This window comes from Homo sapiens, chromosome 1, assembly GCF_000001405.40.
Source record: "Homo sapiens chromosome 1, GRCh38.p14 Primary Assembly".
NCBI classification, from domain to species: domain Eukaryota; kingdom Metazoa; phylum Chordata; class Mammalia; order Primates; family Hominidae; genus Homo; species Homo sapiens.
Genome location: NC_000001.11, coordinates 185,952,195 through 185,975,075, shown reverse-complemented (window position 1 = coordinate 185,975,075; position 22,881 = coordinate 185,952,195). Strand labels below are relative to the sequence as shown.

The window sequence follows — 22,881 nt, the reverse complement described above, 5'->3', positions numbered from 1 at the left end:
GGACAGAAAACAAATTCCAGAACAGCACAAAGATATGCAGAAGCCTGGAATCAACCAACTGCTTGGAAGAATACCCAGTTTACTGACACATTACAACACAGGCATCAGTGAAAATGAAGGCAGATTTCAATTTTCAGAACTAAGAAAGCCAAGAACAAACTGGAATTAAAAAGGATAAACAAACCTCAATCTGTACCAACAAAACTCAATTAAGACAGGAGAAGTCATCCATTGTAAAGCAGCTTTGAGAACAGCATTATGCACAAAACAAGCACAAGGTCAAAGAATATATGTACTGGTATCACAAAACAAGGCAAATGAGAATACCAGGCACTAGGTAAGCAGCCAAGGCAGCATCAATGACAAGCAAACTTCAAAAATGAAGCAACTCCTAATACAGCCAAGAAGCTTTTTAAATACTTCCTACTCCTGAATGTAGCCAACATGAACTCCAAGTGAATTACAGTGAGTAGATGGTAAATACATTAATGAAACTATGGGGAAGAAGAACAGCAGTGAGTGTAGTACGGTGCACGGTGCTTCTACAGAGGAGGCTGTTTGCTTAGAGAGGTGAAGAGCACACTAAGTGGCTTCAAATGGCAACTCTAAGCTTGAGAAAATTATTTTACCTCCTCCAGTTAAAATATCCCCATGAACAAAAAAGGCATAATAACATTTCCTATCTCATGTTGTTAAAAGAGATGATCTTATTAATCATTTAGTATATAATAATCACTGAGATATAAACACTCATTAAACATATTATAGAGTTAACTTATTAAATCTCAACTGGAGTTTAATAAGTCTATGGTTAATTTCTGTGGTTAGTTTAATGTATCTATGGTTAATTTCAATTTTGGCTTCTTCACAGAGTCTGTTAGGATGATGTTTGATCCTCTGAGATCCTAAGTATTTGTTTGCAAGCATCTTGAGATCTGCACAGGGTTAATGCCACAGTATAACTTTGCTGTAACTTACATATAGATATGGCTGTGTACACACATTATTCTGCAAATATAAAAATCACAAACAGATTGACCATCTTGCTGCAAAAATTATTCCATAAAATTATTCTAGTTCCCTTAGGGAAAATTAAATATATATATACTCCATGTGGTGACTCTTGCATTATTTTAGTCAGAGATTTTCTTTCCTAAAATGACTGGACACATTGTTTTGGTTCCACCAAACCGCAAAGCATGAAACCACAGTCTAAGTCTCAAACCCTGTGTGGTATGGAATGCTACAAATAAAATCACTGCCAAGCCAACTTTTTGTTTGATGTAGCCAGTCCTCTTTCCTTCCAAATGACTTCACAGTCCACTATCCCTTTTTACAAAGGATAAAAATCATTGGTAACTTTCCCTGTTGACCTGAAATGTCCATAATTTAAAACCATGATAATAAGTAATAGGAAAAAGGGCACTCACTACAAGAAGCTAGAACTCAAAAATCGTATTAAATAGCCTTTTCATAATTTTTTGATCTAGTATTGTTGATATGAAGTAATATGCCCACAAAAACAATCTGAAAGCTCAAATAGCTAAATGATATGGATAAAAGCATGCTTTTCTTCCTAAGTCATAAGCTACTTAAATTTATGCCCAATAGTTTTGGAACTCAAATGAACAATTTTATGCACTACTAAGCTTAGTACTTAACTTGTCTCAAGCCCTTTCTTTAAAAAATTAAGCTGAAATGGTGACTTTCACATTAAAATCCCAATGCTTAATCTTAAATACTAAGCTGCTATTATATAGGCATTTCCATATGATTTTTCAAGGTTCAAAGAATCAAAATGACCACTTAATTTGTGAAGTTAATATTCATTTACATGATACATGTTTCATTAAACAGCTTTAGAGGAACAGCAGTAACAGCTGATATGCTGGGTGTACGTTAGGATGATGTCTCGTTTTATCTTTACAACCAACCAGTGAGGTAGGTACCACTTAGATCATTATTTTATAGATGAGGAAAGTTTAGGCAGAAAACCCATTCTCTGTCAGAGTCCACCATTTACTTAACCACTACATAAGTTCTGGGGAAAGTTTTGATTTGATGTGTGTTTACCTTTAAACCTAATAGTGATAACTATAATTATCACTGCAACTGTGATTTGCATGGTTCTTAGCATTTACATATTATATCTGCTAGAATATGTAACAATAGTGTGATGTGAACAGACAAGGTCTGTTCAACCTTTGTTATTCAACAAAACAAGCACAAGGTCAAAGAATATATGTACTGGTATCACAAAACAAGGCAAATGAGAATACCAGGCACTAGGTAGGCAGCCAAGGTAGCATCAGTGACAAGCAAACCTCAAAAATGAAGCAACTCCTAACATTGTGAGCTACAAAGAGAAAGATCTAACAGCGAATATGGAAATAGTTAATGCATAACAGAAACATGAATGGTACTGACTTTAACACTAAGTTATTTGGCAATTGTGAACAATGGTCAAGGTTACAATAAACAAATAATTTGGCTTATGTTGATGGTTCTGTCAGGACAATTACTAGAATAAAAGTTGAAAAGCCATTGTTTTAGAAAGGGTCACAGAGAATGAAGATCTTGAGTATAAGTGAAGATAAAATAAAATTCACTTCTGTTCAAGAAATAAAGCATAAATACGAAACATTTGTTAGGTTGTTTCCTAATCCAATGTAAGTCACCCCAACACAGATAGTGTGAACCCTTATATGGTGTATCACTGGATGGAAGAAGGAATCTGGAAATTCCAGAAGCTAAAAGGGATTACCAAGAAGGCAGCAAGTAAGCAAAGAAGCATGTGCAAAAGATTCTTAGGATTTCTACAAACTTTGAGGGGACTGAGGGTGCAATTACCTTTTTGTTGGGAAAAATTACTGAGACTGTTTCTCTCTTCCTCTAGAGCCAGACAAGTCTAAAAGAATGTTGAGTAAACATAAAATATCTGTGCCGGAAGGAGGTAGAAGGAGAACTAGAAAATGTTGAGAATTACAATGTTGTACTCAGTATATTTCTTGTAAACAAGAATTCTCTATGTAGTGACCCTCTTTATTTGGGCCTTACATGTCTAAAAGCATTACTGTGTTTTACATCTTGCTTGCTAGTAGATTCAGAGCTACCCTCCACCCAGAGGTTCCAATCTTATTTTCAAGGCATTTCTCTTAATAACCACAGAGTTTAGTCATGGTTCAAACACGTGTTACAGTGTCCTAGACAGATTCTATAGTGGTCTTTGTGGTCATTTCCAGCTTTGTTGATTCTCCCCCAAGGGCATAATCACCAAGAATGCAGAGTGTTCACCAGACAGTTCAGGGGCAAGGGGATCATAAAAGATCCCAGAAAGCAAAAATTTAGCTTACATGAAACAAATATCAAGTTAGGAGGACATAATTTTCATTTAAAGACTTAAAACAGTGGAACTAAAATGTTTTGTGTTACTATATTCTAAGAAAAATAAAAAGCATTTTCTTTACAGTTCTAACTTTTGCTTTAAAAAAAACAGTCTGGCATGAATATCATCATATACAAGTGAAAATAGAGGACAATTGAATGCAATGTCATATTTTATAAGTTCTAAGTGACACAAATATTAAATTATCTTAAAAATTAAATGCCAGGTTCTATTTCATACAAACTGAACTCTGTTTTATGTTTGACTACAATGTGAAGAGACATGAGGTAGACAAAAAAGGGAGGACCAAACTTCTTGAGTAACCTACATATGGTTGTCTTGCATACACTGTATCTTCATTTTATGATTGACATTTTTTTGTAGTACTTTATTTCATACACTGAAGAGTAATTGCTATTGAATTTTTTTAAGTAAAAGCACAATCTGATACCTTTGCTGTCATCAATATCTTCAAATTATGATCTTGGGCCAAAGTATAATTTCTGGCCTCCAGATGTTGATACTTAGAAATTCGGTGGCAGAATGGATGACTCTTCGTAGGGAAACAGCAACTTGAGTTCAAATATCCAGGTTCTGCACCTCCCTAACTCTGTAACTCTGATCAAGTTGCTTAGCCTTTATAAGCCTCAGTTTCCTTATCTATAAAAAGGAGATAATTTTAGGATCTTTCCGTATAAATTTTTTGACACAGCGAACGGTACCTAGAAAGTGGCCCAGTGTGGTGGCTCATGGCTGTAATCCCAGCACTTTGGGAGGCTGAGGTGGGTGGGAATCACGAGGTCAGGAGTTCAAGACCAGCCTGGCCAACATGGTGAAACCCCGCCTCTACTAAAAATACAAAAAAATAGCTGGGCATGGTGGCAGGCGCCTGCAATCCCAGCTACTCAGGAGGCTGAGGCAGGAGAATTGCTCGAACATGGGGTGCAGAGGTTGCAGTGAGCCGAGATAGCACTACTGCACTCCAGCCTGGGTGACAGAGTGAGACTCCGTATCAAAAAAAAAAAAGAAAGAAAGCACCTAGTAAATGCTAACTACTGTTATTCTATTAATCTGAAATGCACCCTCTAATTTTGCCATTCTGATGAATAATTCTACCAAACCATTTCAAGGTTATTAAACATGAAAAATAACATATCAATTTCTAAACAAATTGGCCTATAAGATCTGGAGGCTTACAGCCAACATCCAGAGTTATCTTGCCAGTTGCTCTTCCAGCCTCATTGATGGCTACACAGGTATAATCGCCAGCATCCAGATCTTGTGTTTCTTGAATCTTCAAAAGTCCCAAGAGAGGGTCAATAATGAGGAATGTTGAGGGCCTCAACTCAAGATCTCCTAAGTCAAAACAAAGGGGAGAACATTAAACACTAAAGTATTAAAATTGTTTATGCAGCTATTGGTTTAATTTCAAAACTTCCAAATAAAGTTGATTGCAAAGTTTTTAAACACAAGTGTTTGGCACAACATAGACACTTTCTACAGTCTAAAATTCAGACCTGTAATAAACTGTGTATGAATATTTTCTATTTATATCTGTATGTGTAACTAAATAAAAAAGGAGGAGCTCTTTGAAGATACCTTGGGGAACCGGGAAAGCCTGGCAGTCATAACCAAAGCTTAGGTAACAAGGGAGTGGGGAAATGAAGGTTGAAAGGAAGTTTCTACCATCTTTGTGGCAGGATGCATTTGGTTACTCAGTAGATGTTTGAGAGACCAGAGGAATTTTATTTCTGCTAATGACCAGTGCCTTGAATTTCCCAAGAATGACTTTTATTTGAAGGCAGAAGATGTCTCAACAAAGCTATGATTTAGGTTAGGCTTTTCCTTATGCTTCCCCTCCTCCTCCTCCAGGGCATCTCCTTTCCAAAGAATAGAATTAATCAGGATGACCACTATCATAAAAAAGTACATAGTACTGTACATAGTACTGGATGTTTAATGCCAGCTCAGTGTCCACATCTTTTTTGTTTGTTTTTGTAAAGGGTGACATCAAACATGTCAGGATTTTAAAAACTTCCAGGAATCTTGAGGGCCATTGTTCTTAGAGTTTCATAGCATTCCCAGATGTCAAGCCTGAAAAGGTATTCTCCAAAATATCATACACCAGCCATCTGACCTTGGAATGAGGACCATGGAAGTAACTGTCTTAGCTTCTAAGAAGCAAACACAACTCAGGAGCTAGTACTAAAATTCTCTAGGAGACTGCAAACAGCAACAGCCAACAGACTCGGGGCAACAAATGGACAATTCTCTTTCTGCTTATATAATTTTCAAAGGCAAGGAGGTCACAAGAGCTCTAAATTTGAGAAAAAAATTACATCAGCAACCGTCAGTGCCTAAAATGAAGTATTTTTCAGCATTCCAATATTTAAAACCTCAATCATGCTTTTAAACTCGCTACTACATACCACGTGAAAATGAGAGCAGTAACTAAAGCTGTGTCGATATGCCTCTGAGAAATTTTTATAAATAAAAGCAGATGATGTTGACATAAACTTTCCTCACACCACAGGAGGATGCAATCTGACCTCACTGGTCATCAAGTATTAAAATGTTTGGACTAAAATGCATTTAGATTTTTGGAATTCACTTTCCCTTTATATTTCTTCTGTAAATGTCAGAGGACATTAACAGGATAAAATAAAGACTTTTTTGCTAGTAGCTTTCTATCAAAATAAAAATGTTTAAAGAATAGCAGTCATGAAACAAAATATAAATTGGAAAAAACTAGTTCAATTAAGTTTCTGTTTTAATCACATTTTGATAGATTCTCCTTTCTTGATTTCTACTGAAAAGTTACTCATCAAATTATTGAGAAGCTATAAATACAGAACCTTTCAGATGGAAGTAAAATAGTGACTATTTACTTTTAATATTAGGTAAGACTAGAAGAATGTTATACATAGTAAAATATATAAACTTTACTGACAATATATCCTAGGGTTTACAGTCATTACCATTGAGGAGAGTTCTCTTTTTTCTACAGTTTAAATTCAATTTGGCCTCTGTGGATATAAAGACTAACAGAGAGATCATTATCTCTGGCATAAGATCTTTTCAAATAATTGATAAGTAGTTATCAAAAATGTTTGTTTAAAAACTTCTTAACTGTACTGTTAAAAATTAATGGGGACCCTGGTGAATTTTTATGTGGATTATGTTTATTTGTAATTTATATATATATATATAATTTTAGAAATAAAACTGAGAAATTAAAAACATGCATTCACTTATTTTTAATAAATGCATGACATTTTAGCATAATGAACATATTATATTTTTAAAATTGTATTTTCAAAACATGAGAAAGTTAGTGAGAAGAGTGGCAGTGTTTCACATTTTGCAAATCTCTATAATCTCTAATGTAGTGTAATACAAGACAGCTGAATGCTCATATTTGCTTCTCCACTGACTCTATTGGACATCACACATCACATAGCCTCCAGAAACTCCATTATTCACTTTTGAGATAATAAGAATGAAAAAGGCAACATCTTAGTATTATTATGAAAATAATTTTGATCTCATGAATCCCCTGAAAGAATTGTGGGAACCCCTAGAGTCTCCAAACCACATTTTAGGAACAACAGATCTAAATGAATAAATCTAATTTCTTTAATATTTTACCATACATATACTTTTTATAAGATTTCAGTAGTGTTTTGATTCTCCTTTGAACCCATTTTGTATTGCTCATTTCTAAAAATAAAAGATCTAAAATTTAAGAGAGCATTTGTGCTTATGGAATTCCTTTTCTCTGATGGTCTGAATGGAATACAGTTTGTTCATTTTTTTCTTTCAAACACCTACTTTATTCAATCAGAATCACCTCAAGGAAGGTATGAGGAAAAAGATATTCTTATGGTGAAGGCAGGAACTCTTCCTCCTCACCCCTATGGTTTCCATAAGGTAGCATTTTCCCAGCCTTCCTGGTGTCTTGTCCTCAGCAGAGGTGGGACTGGAAAGCCCACCTGCTCCTAACCCCCTCCATTTTGAGGCCAGTTTGCATTCACAGGAGTTTGTCCCCTAGATTTGCTCTTGGTGGTCCTAACTCTACTCTGTTTATGCATAAATTGTCTGCCTGTAACTTGGGAGGGTATGTTAGTTGACCTGATCCTGGAGGTCAGGGCAGCTCTGCCTATTATTGATGAACCCAGGGAACACATCTTACAATGTATCAAATGCCCATATTCTATCTCTGTTGGTTCATAACTTGGACAGCAAAATGATAGATTATTGAACCCACTGAGCGGTAATATCTATAGTTGAGATAAGAAACAGAGAGTAAATTCTAGAATCTCTCATGTAGTGGGTACCTAGTTCCCTATTTCCTCTTTTAGTTTCCAAGCTATTTCTGGGTTTAAGATGGGCATGAAGACTAATTGATTAAGGAGCACAGTCCCAGTTTGGGGGAATAAAAGACTGTTTGTGAGACTCTGCTATATACACATATATAGAAGTTGGCATTTCCATTACTTTTTTGAATTTTTATTTTCATGATAAACTATTGAATGACATTTAAAATAAAGAAATACTGTCTATAACATATTTTCTTGATATATTTAATTATGATGTAAATTTGAAATTGGTACTGATTTCTTTGGCAATTCAAAAATTTAAGTATTTTAAGAAAGTAAAATTAGTTTATGTTAACCAACATAAACCTGATTAAGGAGCAAACTCAGAAATGCTTTCTTATCAGAGAAAACATGAAGACTAAAAATCTTTCAGTATGGACAACCAGGAAAATGGCATTACTTCCTAGTTTCCACCTTGCTTTTGATTTATATTATTTAAAACTATTTATTTTCTACATAAAGCCTTTCTTTTTCACCTCATGTTCCCTAAGAGTTTGAACTTGAGGTGAATTCCTAATTTTGTGATTATGACATCAACCTGTTGCTATGGAAATGTTTGTGATTTAACAAACAGAATCATAACAATAGTGCTTTGTACTATTTAACACTTTTCATCTGAAAATTTAAAAGTATTTTGCAAACAGCATCTCAATAATCCTAGCAACCTCCCAGTTAGGGTGTTTGCAGGATTTTTTTTCTTTTTCCCGTAACTGGAAGAACTGAAACAGAAGCAGAAGCAGGGCTTTTTACACAGATATCTACTGTCAGCATCTGAGCGGGAACCAGAATCCAAGTGTATCTCACCAAGGACAAGTGGCATATAACTGTTATTTTATTATGGAATCACAGAGGTGCAATCTTTATGACACAAATATAGAAAGATAATTTCTATAGTTGAGACAAGCATTTACCATGTATGATGTAGCTGACCTATCAATAAATAATTTGTCTTTCAACTATCTGTAAGCTTCAATGTGTATCTTTATTTGAACACTTTATAGAAAGTATCCTTGTGAATCTAGAAAACTTTTTAATAGTGAGAGCCATCATCTCTAAGAAAAGTGAACTAAAATCAGCGGAGCTATTTTAAACGTTAACTGAGTATTCTTGGACAATTTTCTTCAGGAAACAATCCTAAACTAACAAAGAGAATGTTCAGCTGGATTAGCAAAGGCGAACTTTTCCTGCTTTGATTTTTACAGTCCTGTAATCCATACCAGATGTCAAATCCTGAAATTCAGAGTTGAGAATTTTGAACTATTGTCTCCAGTGAGATCATAAACACATTTTATGGGGCTGCTAAGTCACACACCAAAACAAAGTTTTAACAAATCATTTTTTTTAAAAAGAAAACAAAACTAAGTGAACCAGACACAAACATATTGAAGAAATGTACCTTTGAACCATTTAACTTGAGGTGGAGGAATACCAGAGGTTTTGCATTCCATAACGGTTATATCCCCAAGGGCAACCAAGAGCTCACTCTGAACTACCATCAACTTAGGGGCTTCTGAAAAAAACAAAAACGCAAATAGTCAACATTTAGCACAAGACCAGATGGATTTTGTTTATGTTTACTAAATGAACCAATTTAAAAATTTATGTGCTTGTGGCCATTTCAATATTTATAAACCGAAAGAAACTCTTGTAATGCACATGCACATAGGTGTATGTGATAAAAAGATCATTTATCAAGGTCAAAGAAATGATATCAGGAAAAAAATAATGACTAAAACAAAAAATAATTATCATAAACTCCAAAAAATTTAGGAAACTAATCGAAAGTTCTTTATGAAAAAGAGTTATACAAGGAAAGAAACATCTTAGAAATCAGAATACATCTTAGAGAAACAATACTAAAAGAACAGAGAGAGGAATAATTCTAAGAAAAATATAGTCAAAAGAGGGATAATGGTAAGACTGACAGCTAAATTAAGACTTGAGGATGATACAACCGTAGATGAATTTGTTAACATTTTCTACGTCATTTTAAGGATATTCATGTCTAACTACAGGAAGATATTTGCAGTCCAAGCCTAAAATTTGCATTTACAAAAAGTAGAGTCTCCTGGTTTTGACCCTTCTTTTCCCTGTGATGCTAAATATAGACATTCTCTAAATTTCTGTTCTTCACTCCGTTTGCTTCACTTGCTTGCCCAATGGTTCAGTTTACTTAAACATTTTCTCTTAACGAGATATTTTAGGACTTCCTAGCTTCAGCTGAGGTATTTTTAAACAAAGCTAAGTTAACTTCTCACAGATCATGTAATTTCTCTGCTAGAATACCTTCAGTGATTCCTACTGCCTTCAAAATTCCATAGACTCTCTTTCAAAAATTATAAATGGGTGCATAGCTTTTTTTTTAACCTTACCCTGTTACAGTTCCTCACTTATCACAAGGTACAGAGCTTCACTGATAGCCCAAAATACAACAGACTTTTACTCTCCTGTCTTCTTTGCCTTTCCTAAAGCTATTTCCTCTTTCTAAAATGCCCTTTGCCACAACCTTTCAAATCCCACTCATTCCTCCAGACTGAGCCTAAATCCTGTCTCCTTTGAGAAATCTTTGCTAATTCCTCCGTCTGAATTAGTCTTCCCCTCTGCCAACCTCCCACTGTAGTACTTGTCTGTCTGCCTTGTTATATTTCCGTATATATCCACCCCCATTATGTAAATTATGAGACCACTTCTTTCCAGGCTCTCAATTCAATACTTGTGACATTTTGGTTCTCTCCCTCACCTATACCTTCAAGTACAATTCTCTATCTTTATTATCTCTTTTGAATCCTTGCTTCTCTACTGACAGTTTCATTATCTTACTGTGAATGAGACTGAATAAGAATGAATGAAAGGGTGGACTGCTAGCCATTGATTATTCACGATTTATAACCTGGATCTGAGTATATTATTCCTTTATCCTTTATTTGACTAAGAAAGACAAAATTAAATAGAAATATTCTGTAGAATAATTTTCATGAAGTACGCTTCCAATAAATGTTTAAGTTTGGAGAGGGAAATTGAAGATAAAAAGTAAAAATTATATTATACACAGTTTTTAATATAAGTAGAAATTATAAAATGGAAGTTAAGCTAGAAAGGAAATAGAATTTATTAATTTAAAAGTAAAATATTGCAGAGAACAGATGAACAGTGGAAAGATAGAACTTTGTGGACAATATGAAATTATTCCATAACCTGGAAGCTTCCTTGATTTCTGTTGACTAATGAAGCTTTTCACTCTATGAACTTTTAACTTAAATTGGTTACAATATTTGCTTCAATCAGTGTGTGAAATGAATAATAAAGTATAATACCATGTATGCATTACTAATATTAATATTTCAAAAAAGTACTTTTGCATTGCTTGATGTGATATTCATCCTATTTTAATTGCCTTTTAAAGTGATTATACTTGCCAATGTATCTGAGAGTAGAATTCTGTTTATCTGTTCCAGCTGAATTACTTGCTAGGCAACCATAGATCCCTGCATCTTTGGGAGCTGCATTTTTGATAAATAAGGTACCATCTGAGGTCATCCTATACCTATGAATAAAAAACAAAAAGAATATAAAATTGAAAATGCCACAATAGTAATATCAAGATAATATAGTGCTTTCCTTTAAAATATTTTCAAACGTTGTAGAGTTATATTTTTGGTGTCGATTGCAGAAATGGTTACCATCATTATTTTATAAGCAGAAATGCAATAATAATAATAATATCATGTATCCAATATTGACTACATACCAGCCGCTGCTCTAGAAACTTTACATTTATTTTAATCTAAAAATTTTCCTCACCCTAATGAGTTAAATACTATTAATATCTCTGTTTTACAGGTGAGCAAAGAGGTTACATAACTCACCCAAAGCCAGAGTTAGTAAATGGAAGAACTGGAATTTGCACCCCGGCAATCTTGCTCCATGTGGTGGATTGCTATAGTAAACGGTTCATCACAATGAAAACCTTAGAGATGTAATGTCTCATGTCACACAGTGAGTCTGTAAGGCGTTTAGGAATAGAATCTGGCTCAACTGGCTGGATCACACGTATGACTTCTTCACTGCCAAACCCAGAGTAATGGAAGCCCCATGGCTGGATACTTTGTTGTTTATATTCCACGTGTTTATTATACTGTAGGAGCATGAGTGGATTCAATGCTTTTAAAAAGCACCCAGTGAAATAAAATACTTCCCACTGTAGTTTGGCAAAAATGGAAGTAATGACAAAGAATGTCTGAACACATTTTAATTAGAGCTACTGGTCTGTTCTTGACCTCTCTCTTCTGTTAAATCCAGGACAATGTCTTTAATAGATTTGTTGAAATTCTATGTTATTTTACCTCACAGAAAATTTATTACCCTCGTTTCAATTACTCAAGTTAAACTAACTGATTGGTGCTACATTTGCAGCTCAAAGTACTGGGAAGCACTTGGTCCCAGCTATTGAATTCAAGACTCAATAACCTCAAACTTTATAAAGTCATCATTTATATTATTTTTGACATTCATAGCCTGTTTAGAAAATGTAAAGCTAAGTATTGTGGTCAAACCTCCCTTAATATTAGGGATTTGGTCATATTAGTTTGGTCCAGAAGTCTCATCAATTTTTCTCACTCAATAAAAACAAAAACATGATACAAACCCAGTACCTGTGTGAACCCACGATAAACATATCGTTAACGGTCCAGGCAATCTTTGGTTTGGGATAACCTGTTGCAGAACACATGATGGAGACCTCAGACCCTCCTGTGAAAGACTGATTCTTGGGCATCACAGTGACTTTGGGTGGTTCTGCAAATAAAAATATACGTATGTAGAAAAATGCCAATTTATCTTGATGTTAGAAGCTTCCTATGTTAGCAGATTTGTAGGTTTCTCACCACCACATCTTTATTGCCTTCCTCTATGGATGAACCCCATCACAGATATGGCAGGAAAGAAACCAATGGTAATGAAAACAAGGGAAGTAAACTCTCTTTGAAAGTTAAATGAATTTGATCCCGATGTTATATTTTTGTGTTTCCACTGGTTACCATGAAGCCCCTTGCTGGCTTGCCTCCACCAGCTGACCTACAGTTTATGCCACTAATCTGACACTTCCCTATAAACCTGTTCCCAGGCAAAGTCTCTAAATAGAGTTTTTGGCTCTTTCTAGACAATGAATGTAGGATTGGAGCCACAACTTGTCCTGACTATGCTGTCTGCTTTGTTCAACCTGATCTTTCTTTTTATTTATTTGATCATAACTTTGTTATGATAAGAAACCATGTACTCATATTATTCCATATTCGATTATATTCTACAGCATTTAACATCCCTTGCATATCATTGCAGTGGCTTGTATATAAAAGACACTTAAAACTTTTGATGGAATGCAGTTTCCTAAACTGTAACTTGGCTCTGAATTGTAATGTCTGCCTGCCCCTCCCAAGATCCTGCTACACTGGTCATTTGACTCATGTCCGTGCATGCACAGGACCTCAACTTAAAAAAAAAATCAGTTATTCAAACTTTCTCTTTCATTACACTTCTATGGCAGGAAAAAGACTTTTGAAAATGGAACACTAAATCAGGAATTTATCATCAAAAAGAAAACAATTCTCTGAGATAATTCTGGGATGTTGATATATTTGTTTTAATAGATTACATGTTTTACATCTATATTATTACACAATAAGAATTAATCTTCAAAGAAGGTACCATCAAAGAGATATTAAGTAGCTCCTAATGTAAATATCTACCACTTAATAAGGTAAACAAAAGTAAATTAATTTCCAGTGTTTGAAACAGACAGCTTTCATGAGTATTAACAAAAATAAATAAATTCATTCAATGACATCTGCTTTTTGCATAATTATTATGTGCCAGGCACTGTGCTAACTTGCAGGGACACACAGATGAACCTAACAGGCATGCTGTCTGCTTTCCATTTAATTTGGTTTTTACTATAAATAAAATTGAGAAATTCAGTTAGCCAGTTAGATGTGAATATATTTATGATATATCTTTCCTGTAAGTTAGTCTGCAAATTGTGGCTTAGTTTCACTAAGAAACCAACAGCTTGGGGAATCTATACATGTGAGAGATACAAATGGTATGCTGGGCGGCAGCAGCTACACAACTGAAGGAAGCTAATTAGTGCCTAATTGCTAGCAGCTTACAATTGTCCCCCTCCCCTTTTTTTCCTGTTTACATTGTGTTTTTCAAATTATGGTCTAGTCTTTGAAGTTAATGTTTAAAGGATTTTTTCCGGTCCATGAACTTGGTTGATAGCCTCATTATTCCACGGATTCTTGTTGGTGAGCATAGGGCTAGAGAAATGTGTGAGGTCAAGGGCAGACTGAATATGGCCAGTAAGTTCAAATTGTGATTCCATCTGGAGTCCATCAATTCTGAAATTCTGAAGGACTACACATGCTGTAGGGATGATGCAGATAATCTTCAGGGGATAAGTGGGAAAAAAAATGAACAGTTCTTTCTCTTTGGAATTTATTGAAACACACATTTATTCAGTCCCATCTTCCTAAAATAAAATGCTTCTCGTGTCTAGCTATTGACATGGAATTGCTGCAAAGATTCAAGCAACTCTCAGAATTTTTGTCCAAACTTGGTGTCTTCCAATGTAGTCTGCCAGAAATGGCCTGGCATCTCTCCCAGCAAGAATCCCACTGGTAGGCTCTGTATTTCAGATATCAAAGTAAAAATAAGTCAGTTACCCAAACCAGGATGCAGAGAGCTAAGAGGTCATTGAGCAAATACAGCCTGGACATAGGGTGCTACTCAGGGTCATGAAATAAGTCTGTGTGCAACACACAGATGGGATGACATCATCCCACAGGAGGTGAGAAATTTACCATTGCCTTAGAATATTCCTGCTGATTGCCGGGCATGGTGGTTCACGCCTGTAATCCCAACACTTTGGGAGGCTGAGGCGGGCAGATCAACTGAGGTCGGGAGTTTGAGACCATCCTGACCAACATGGAGAAACTCTGTCTCTACCAAAAATACAAAAATTAGCTGGGCGTGGTGGTGCATGCCTGTAATCCCAGCTACTTGGGAGGCTGAGGCAGGAGAATTGCTTGAACCTGGGAGGCAGAGGTTGCAGTGAGCCAAGATCACACCACTGAGCTCCAGCCTGGAGAACAAGAGCAAAACTCCGTCTCAAAAAAAAAAAAAAAAAAAAAGAATATTCCTGCTGATAAGATACTTAGAACATGAACAAATACAGAGGAGCAAAATTAGATTTCTACCAAATAACAGTTGAATGAAAATGGTCAAAATGAATTAGACTTTACTTAATCAGGTTAAATAATGATATAGTAGATTTCACTAAGTTATTTCAACTGCTAATTTTTTAATTCCTAGAAAAACCTCCTCATTTTAATGAAGTAGTTTCAATGGAGCAAGAACATGGAATTAAAGAACCACAGTTCAACTCCATCAATGAAGTAACATCATTTGCCAACTAACAAACTGAGTCTACATCTCTTTATTTGCAATGTAAAACCCCATCCTGTTAGGGGAAAAAAAAATAGTACTAATGTTGGATTTAGAAGTCCGGAGTTCAATTTTAGGCTTTGGAGAGAAGTAATCCACTTTTACTTGAGATTTCCAATCTCATATCACCACCATCATCATTATCACCATTATCATCACCACCACCACCACCATGAGCAACCAACATCATCATCATCAAGAACAACTTGCTTTTGCTAGCCAAAGCAATGGGAACACAGCACTCTATTAGGGGGCAAGGTATTAATTTGCTTTTTATTTAATTATAACAAAAGCGAAATACATGTTTTTGTAATTTCCTATCAATAATTTAGAAGAATTAAATATAAATATAAAATAAAAACCAATACTACTTTAAGAATTGGGTATCTTAATACACTATTAATGGTCAGATTAGCAAAAATGAAGTGTAAGTGGCCATGAAAACAGCCATCTCACTGCCTACAAAAACTAGGGAAGAAAAAGTCTCACCTAACTCTTGGAAACTGCCAACACTATCTTCAAGCTCAGGAGACACATTTCCTGTCAGCTGGGTCTGATTTGTTGCTCTTAAGCTTCTGGTAAGAAATTTCTCAGAGAAAATACCTAAGGACTTTTTCTTCAAGGTTATTTAATTACCACCAACAAATTAATTAGATAATGCAAATGATTTAATTACCTAAGTCACAATTAGCAATATTTGTCACCACTGGTATATTTAGAGTACTTGGGCAAATTTCTGTGTGTTTTCATTTTTTCAGCCAACAAACATTTACTGAGTACCGACAATGTTTCAGACACTTTATGCCTTCAAAGATCTCACAGACACTATAAAGTATATTATGTAAAATTAGGAACTAAATCTCTTTCTAGTAGTCAGTTCATTGAAATAGGAAAGTGGTGCTTTCCTTCCGTCAGTGCCTATTACATGCCGGGTATCTAACTCTAGACCCACCATTTATTTTCCACAATAATACTATGTAGCAAGTGTTACTGCCATTTTACAAATAAACTATGGCTCAAAATGGTTAAATAATTTGCCTAGTCACTCAAAGGTGGAGCTGGAATTCAAATGCAGACATTGCTTGCTCCATGGTGTCTGTCTATACCTTAATGGGAAATAATAGTACCTACCTCATAGCATTATTATGGACTAGCCAGGTTAATATACATAAAACACTTAGAACAATGCCTGGCATGTAGTAGGCACGATGTAACTTTTGCTATTATTAGCAGTATTCCTCTATATAGCAACGTGTGACAAAGCATGACCAAATAAAGTTATAGCATTTAAAATACATCTGTGCATATGTACTATCTAGACATTTACAAATGAAATTTGATCACCACAATCCTCACACTTACATACGTCATTTAGATTATATATCCTATTTCAGCCTGTACGTGGTGGCTCACGCTTGTAATCCCAGCATTTTCGGAGGCCAAGGCAGGAGGATCACTTGAACCCAGGAGTTCAAGACCAGTCTGGGTAACAGGGCAAAAACCCGTCTCTACTAAAAATAGAAAAATTAACCTGGTGTGGTGGTGCATGCCTGTAGTCCCAGCTACTACTTTGGAAGACTGAGGTGGGAGGATCACCTGGGCCCAGGAGGCAGAGGTTGCAGTGAGCCAAAGGTTGCAGTGAGTCAAAAGTTGCAGTCAGCCAAGATTGCATCACTGCACTCCAGTTTGGGTGTGAACAAGACCCTTTCTCAAAAAAAAGATTATATACCCTATTTATAAACAATATTTGTTATATCTTATTTAATTCTTCTGAAATCTGAAATATTTCTAGATACTTAAAATTTACTAGAAATTTCAATAAAATAGATAAAATTAGATTTTTTTCCTCTGTTTTACTAATGGAAAAAGCATGCTACTTACCATGTCACGTGGCACATGTTAAAAAGAGTTATAATATAATGAGCATGTGGTTATAATATTATTTTCATACTTAGTGAAGTAATTCTCATCATTAAATACTGACTTCATCAACCATCTTGAGAAATATTTCCTTTTTTGTTGCAATATTCTCTCTGGTGACGTGGCCTAATTAATGACAGACATCCACCCTTTCCTGATACCATAGAAGACAAATTATTACTTCTAATGTTCATACAGAAAAACATCAAGGAGAAAAGGAGGCTTTGTCTGGCACTTTGATTTCCATGTCACAACATGTGATTATGCAGGAGATGTCAGCTACACACTGAATATGCTCAGATTGAACAAGGACTCCTGGGTTGATCTCCAGCCTCAAAAATCCTCCTCATAAGGGAACAACTAGTGGAATCAACAGAAAACTATTTCTGTTGTCAGATAAACAGGAAAACAATCTTAAACAAAACCTTTAACTCCTACTATATATATAAAAACGTCCCCTTCTCTCCCACACTTATGTAACCTTTACTCAGAAGCAGTATAAGCATTTGAAAATTAAGCAGCCACTGTATCAACTCAACAGTGACAAATTGCTTTAGCCTATTTTGTAAAATTTTGCAAAACTCACTCACATTTTGTTTCTAAATTGGGGTGAATTAATATAAACAATACTTTAAAAATAACAACTATGAATTTTTCATGAGATAATTACCAGATTTTGTTCTAAAATATGATTTTAAATGCAAGCAGTAATATGCTGGCTTGTGCTGGAACTGGACAAGAAAGTACTTACATAATGACATTTCTAACTGCTGATGTGATTCAAATAACCCATTGAAGTTAACATGGAAACATGATAGATAAGGGTAATGACCCAGACTTCCCTACAGTGTTATTGTTACACTGAGGTTTATTCAGCAATTAAGGAATTATACATCTATTGGGTGCAATTATGTTTTTCCCTCTGTGCAAGGCACTATGGGTTTAAAAAATGACAATGTGATATCGTGAAATATATATTTTGTCTTTGTCCCATTTCCTGACATACAGCTACTAAAATCCTTGGAATCTCAGTAGTGATAAAAGTTTCTTTTGCATGCTAATAAGATGATTGGTGACTGGGGGTCCCCAGAGGGCTTCAGGATGGGGCTAATTCACCAGAAAGATCAAGGCAGGATGGAACTTCCAACCCCACCCTCAAAATCCAGGGAAGGGAGAGGAGATGAAGGCAGCGATGATCACTGATGGCCCGTGATGTAATCAATCATGTCTACAGAAGGACATCTCCATAAAAACCAAAACCAAAAAAAAAGCCAGGGTTCAGAGAGCTTCTGAAATAGCTAAACATGCAGAGAATAGCTGAACACATAGAGGTTCCTGGAGGATGGTGTGAAGCTCTGTGCCACTTCTACCATACCTCACCCTATGGCTGTTCATCTGTATTCTTTGTAATATCCTTTATAATAAATGAGTAAAAGTAAAGTGTGTCCCTGGGTTCTGTGAGCCACTCTAGCAAATTAATCAAACTCCAGGAGGGGGTTGTAGGAACCCTGATTTATAGCCAGTCAGAAGCACAGATCACAACCTACAGTTTGCAATTGGCATCAGAAGTGGGTGGACCATCTTGCAGGACGGAGCCTTCAATCTGTGGGATCTAGATAGTTTCAGAAATGAATTGGAGGATCACCTGGCTGGTGTCTGCTGGAGAACTGCTTGGTGTATGAGGGAAAAAAAAATCCCACATATCTGATGTCAGAAGTGAAGTTCGGTATATGGAATGGGAAAGATACACTTTGACTTTTCCTGTATCTCTAATAGACAATAAGTATCTCACAGTGTATATATAATATGATTAATAATGACTAAACACGTGATTAAGTGCAAAATTTTGTGGCAAAAATAAGTTCTAGAGGATAACCGAACAAAGAGACCAATATCAGAAAGGCAGTGGTTTATGAGATGCTTCACATTATAGGTAGAATTTAGATAGGGATAATAGAACTAGAATAAGAATGATAACATTTGGAGGCAGTGAGGATACCTCTATGACTCAAGTAATGTAAACTGGAGTTGGGACAAATCACGGAAGGATGAAAAGTAATGAAAGAAGGGCTAGGGTCAAGCAGTAGGAAACAGCACACCTTTGAAGGTGTAATGGACATAGAGGCTGACAGAGAAAATGTTCCGTGGCCATCAAAAGTTCAGCTCTGGCAGCCAAAGACAGGACAAGAGCAACACCTATCCATTCTTTTGAGAAATTCATTACTGAGAAAATTCAAAACCCATAGATACCCAAAATTACCTGCCTAACAGTAGTATGACTATAAAATTAGCAGCATCAATAATATTTTATGATATGAAAGAATTAATCTGACAACTTGTCTACCTATAATTCAGAATTAGTTACACATAGAGGCTTAATATCAATAGCAAGTTCAAATATTCAGTTACCCATTTAAGGAAACATGCATAAAGAAAAGATGTATGGCTACCTTATTCTTTGAAGATACATAGTACTCACATATTGAAAGGAAAAATTTTTATTTCTTTTTTTTCTCTATGCATTGCTTTATGAGGATACAATTCAGGATTAAATGTTAAAAGAATTGTGTAGGAGTTAGTTTGTGGACAGAGGAGTGTAAATTTTATTCTGGGGTAATTAGAAAAGCACAAAAAGGTTTTCAATGAATGAACAGTTAAAACAATATTTAGGGAAAATTCACTCGGTTGCCCAGTGGAAGATGGATTGGAATGGGGGAAGAAAGTCCCCATTCTAAAAGAAAGTAAGTCCATAAAAAGAGGATTCTAATAGCTTAGTTTGAGTTGGATGAGCATGGTGTCAGTGGCTATGAGGAGGAAAGGAGTGATATGAGAGACAGAGAAATATTGACCTAACCATGCACAGAAAAAGGGGAAGGGACCTTAATCTAAAAATACTATTACCTGGGGGATAGTTCCACTGAACTCTAAATTTTACAATAGCTCATTTACACTGATCCCTATCAGCAATGCCAAGCACCCACTGATTCAAGCATCAGTCCAAAGAAAACGTCTCCCATTATGGACATACATGTCCATAAATAAAGAGGGCATAAGAAATTCCATTTTTAAAAAATTGATATATTGTTAGGTGTGGTCTGGGGAAAAGAGAGTAGAGAGAGAGAAGTAAGGTATGATTACTGAAAAGAGATCCTAAGTGCCCTGACTGCCAGTCTAGGGCTCTTTCATTACCCCAAGAAGCAATTAACAAATCAGCAACCCAAGGATTTTTATCTCCATAGCTGTCAGTATTTTTTTAAGTGGGGTCATACATTTTTAGATGTTTTTATTTTCCCTCTAAAAGGATTTGTGGTCAAAAGGAATCTAGAGGATCAACAATTGTTGATTGTTGTTTAAAAAGGCCTTACCTTTTGGAAAAAAGCATCTCACAGCTGCCTATTGATCTCTGTGGTGGAAAATTCTCAAGCTTCTCTCAGTGTTCCTAGTGATACGTTTATGCAATAAGGAATTGACAGTACTCAGGAGAAGAAAGATACTCCATTGATTAATATTTACTGTTAAGTTTTTTTCTTACTTGAGTTCTCACAACGAAACCTAAGTACTCTAATATGGAGACAGTTAAAACCCACATTCAACCAAACCACCAAATTAATTTATATTTCTGAAAACATAATAGGAACTGTTATTATGTTCACAAATATATTTTTCATTATGGGTTGTCAGGCCTCTGAGCCCAAGCCAAGCCATCGCATCCCCTGTGACTTGCACTTATATACTCCCAGATGGCCTGAAGTAACTGAAGAATCAAAAAAGAAGTGAATATGCCCTGCCCCACCTTAACTGATGACATTCCACCACAAAAGAAGTGTAAATGGCCGGTCCTTGCCTTAAGTGATGACATTACCTTGTGAAAGTCCTTTTCCTGGCTCATCCTGGCTCAAAAAGCACCCCCACTGAGCACCTTGCGACCCCCACTCCTGCCCACCAGAGAACAACCCCCCTTTGACTGTAATTTTCCTTTACCTACCCAAATCCTATAAAACGGCCCCACCCCTATCTCCCTTTGCTGACTCTCTTTTCGGACTCAGCCCACCTGCACCCAGGTGAAATAAACAGCCATGTTGCTCACACAAAGCCTGTTTGGTGGTCTCTTCACACGGATGCGCATGAAATTTGGTGCCGTGACTCGGATCGGGGGACCTCCCTTGGGAGTTCAATCCCCTGTCCTCCTGCTCTTTGCTCCGTGAGAAAGATCCACCTACTACCTCAGGTCCTCAGACCGACCAGCCCAAGAAACATCTCACCAATTTCAAATCCAGTAAGTGGCCTCTTTTTACTCTCTTCTCCAACCTCCCTATCCTTCAACCTCTTTCTCCTTTCAATCTTGGCGCCACACTTCAATCTCTCCCTTCTCTTAATTTCAATTCCTTTCATTTTCTGGTATTTTCTGGTAGAGACAAAGGAGACACGTTTTATCCGTGGACCCAAAACTCCGGTGCCGGTCATGGACTGGGAAGGCAGACTTCCCCTGGTGTTTAATCATTGCAGGGACGCCTCTCTGATCATTCACCCACGTTTCAAGGGTGTCAGACCATGCAGGGACGCCTGCCTTGGTCCTTCACCCTTAGCAGCAAGTCTTGCTTTTCTGGGGAAGGGTCAAGTACCCCAACCCCTTCTCTCTACCCCTTCTCTGCTTTTCTGGGGAAATGGCAAGTATCCCAACCCCTTCTCTCCTTGTCTCTATCCCTTCTCTGCTTTTCTGGGGGGAGGGGCAAGTACCCCTCAGTACCCCTCAACCCCTTCTCCTTCACCCTTAGTGGCAAGTCCCGCTTTTCTGGGGGAGGGGCAAGTACCCCTCAACCCCTTCTCCTTCACCCTTAGTGGCAAGTCCCGCTTTTCTAGGGGGCAAAAACCCCCCAATCCCTTATTTCCACACCCTGACCTCTTATCCCTGTGCCCCAATCCCTTATTTCTGCACCCCAACCTCTTATCTCTGTGCCCCAATCCCTTATTTCTGCACCCCAACCTCTTATCTCTGTGCCCCAATTCCTTATTTCCGTGTCCCAATCCTTTCTCTGCTTTTCTGGAGGGCAAGAAACCCCTACCCCTTCTCCGTGTCTCTACTCTTTTTCTCTAGGCTTGCCTCCTTCACTATGGGCAAGCTTCCACCTTCCATTCCTCCTTCTTCTACCTTAGCCTATATTCTTAGGAACTTAAAACTTCTTCAACTCTCACCTGACCTAAAATCTAAGCATCTTATTTTCTTCTGCAATGCCGCTTGACCCCAATACAAACTCGACAGTAGTTCCAAATAGCCGGAAAATGGCACTTAAAATTTTTCCATCCTACAAGATGGAAATGGGCAAATGTCATAAAATGGGCAAATGGTCTGAGGTGCCTGACGTCCAGGCATTCTTTTACACATCAGTCCCTTCCTAGTCTCTGTGACCAGTGCAACTCGTCCCAAATCTTCCTTCTTTCCCTCCCACCTGTCCCCTCAGTACCAACCCCAAGCGTCGCTGAGTCTTTCTAATCTTCCTTTTCTACAGACCCATCTGACCTCTCCCTTCCTCCCCAGGCTGCTCCTCTCCAGGCCGAGCTAGGTCCCAATTCTTCCTCAGCCTCTGCTCCTCCACCCTATAATCTTTTTATCACCTCCCCTCCTCACACCTGGTCCGGCTTACAGTTTCATTCCGTGACTAGCCCTCCCCCTCCTGCCCAGCAATTTACCCTTAAAAA

The 22,881-nt window shown here is 36.7% G+C and overlaps 1 protein-coding gene across 5 annotated transcripts in view, besides 1 other annotated feature; it reads right to left on the bottom strand.

The window, feature by feature from the left end:
• The window catches only part of HMCN1 (hemicentin 1), a 456,559-nt gene that overhangs the window by 215,874 nt on the left and 217,804 nt on the right, over positions 1-22,881 (bottom strand). For 4 of the 5 annotated variants that reach the window (NM_031935.3, XM_011510038.4, XM_024450118.2 and 1 more), the window contains exons 12-15: positions 12,417-12,558; positions 11,181-11,308; positions 9,161-9,274; positions 4,583-4,741 (exon numbers count right to left, since the gene is read on the bottom strand). In NM_031935.3, the coding sequence (NP_114141.2) occupies positions 4,583-4,741; positions 9,161-9,274; positions 11,181-11,308; positions 12,417-12,558 (543 nt within the window). Of the gene's footprint in view, positions 1-4,582; positions 4,742-9,160; positions 9,275-11,180; positions 11,309-12,409; positions 12,559-22,881 lie in introns of those variants that run through there. The other variant, XM_017002437.2, reaches the window with a different exon arrangement.
• Positions 20,582-21,420: an enhancer, noted in NCBI's record as "OCT4-NANOG hESC enhancer chr1:185922788-185923626 (GRCh37/hg19 assembly coordinates)". NCBI's record gives its function as "activates a minimal SCP1, AML or CMV promoter by ChIP-STARR-seq in naive and primed H9 embryonic stem cells {active_cell/tissue: H9 hESC(naive and primed)}" and the evidence as "EXISTENCE:reporter gene assay evidence [ECO:0000049][PMID:30033119]".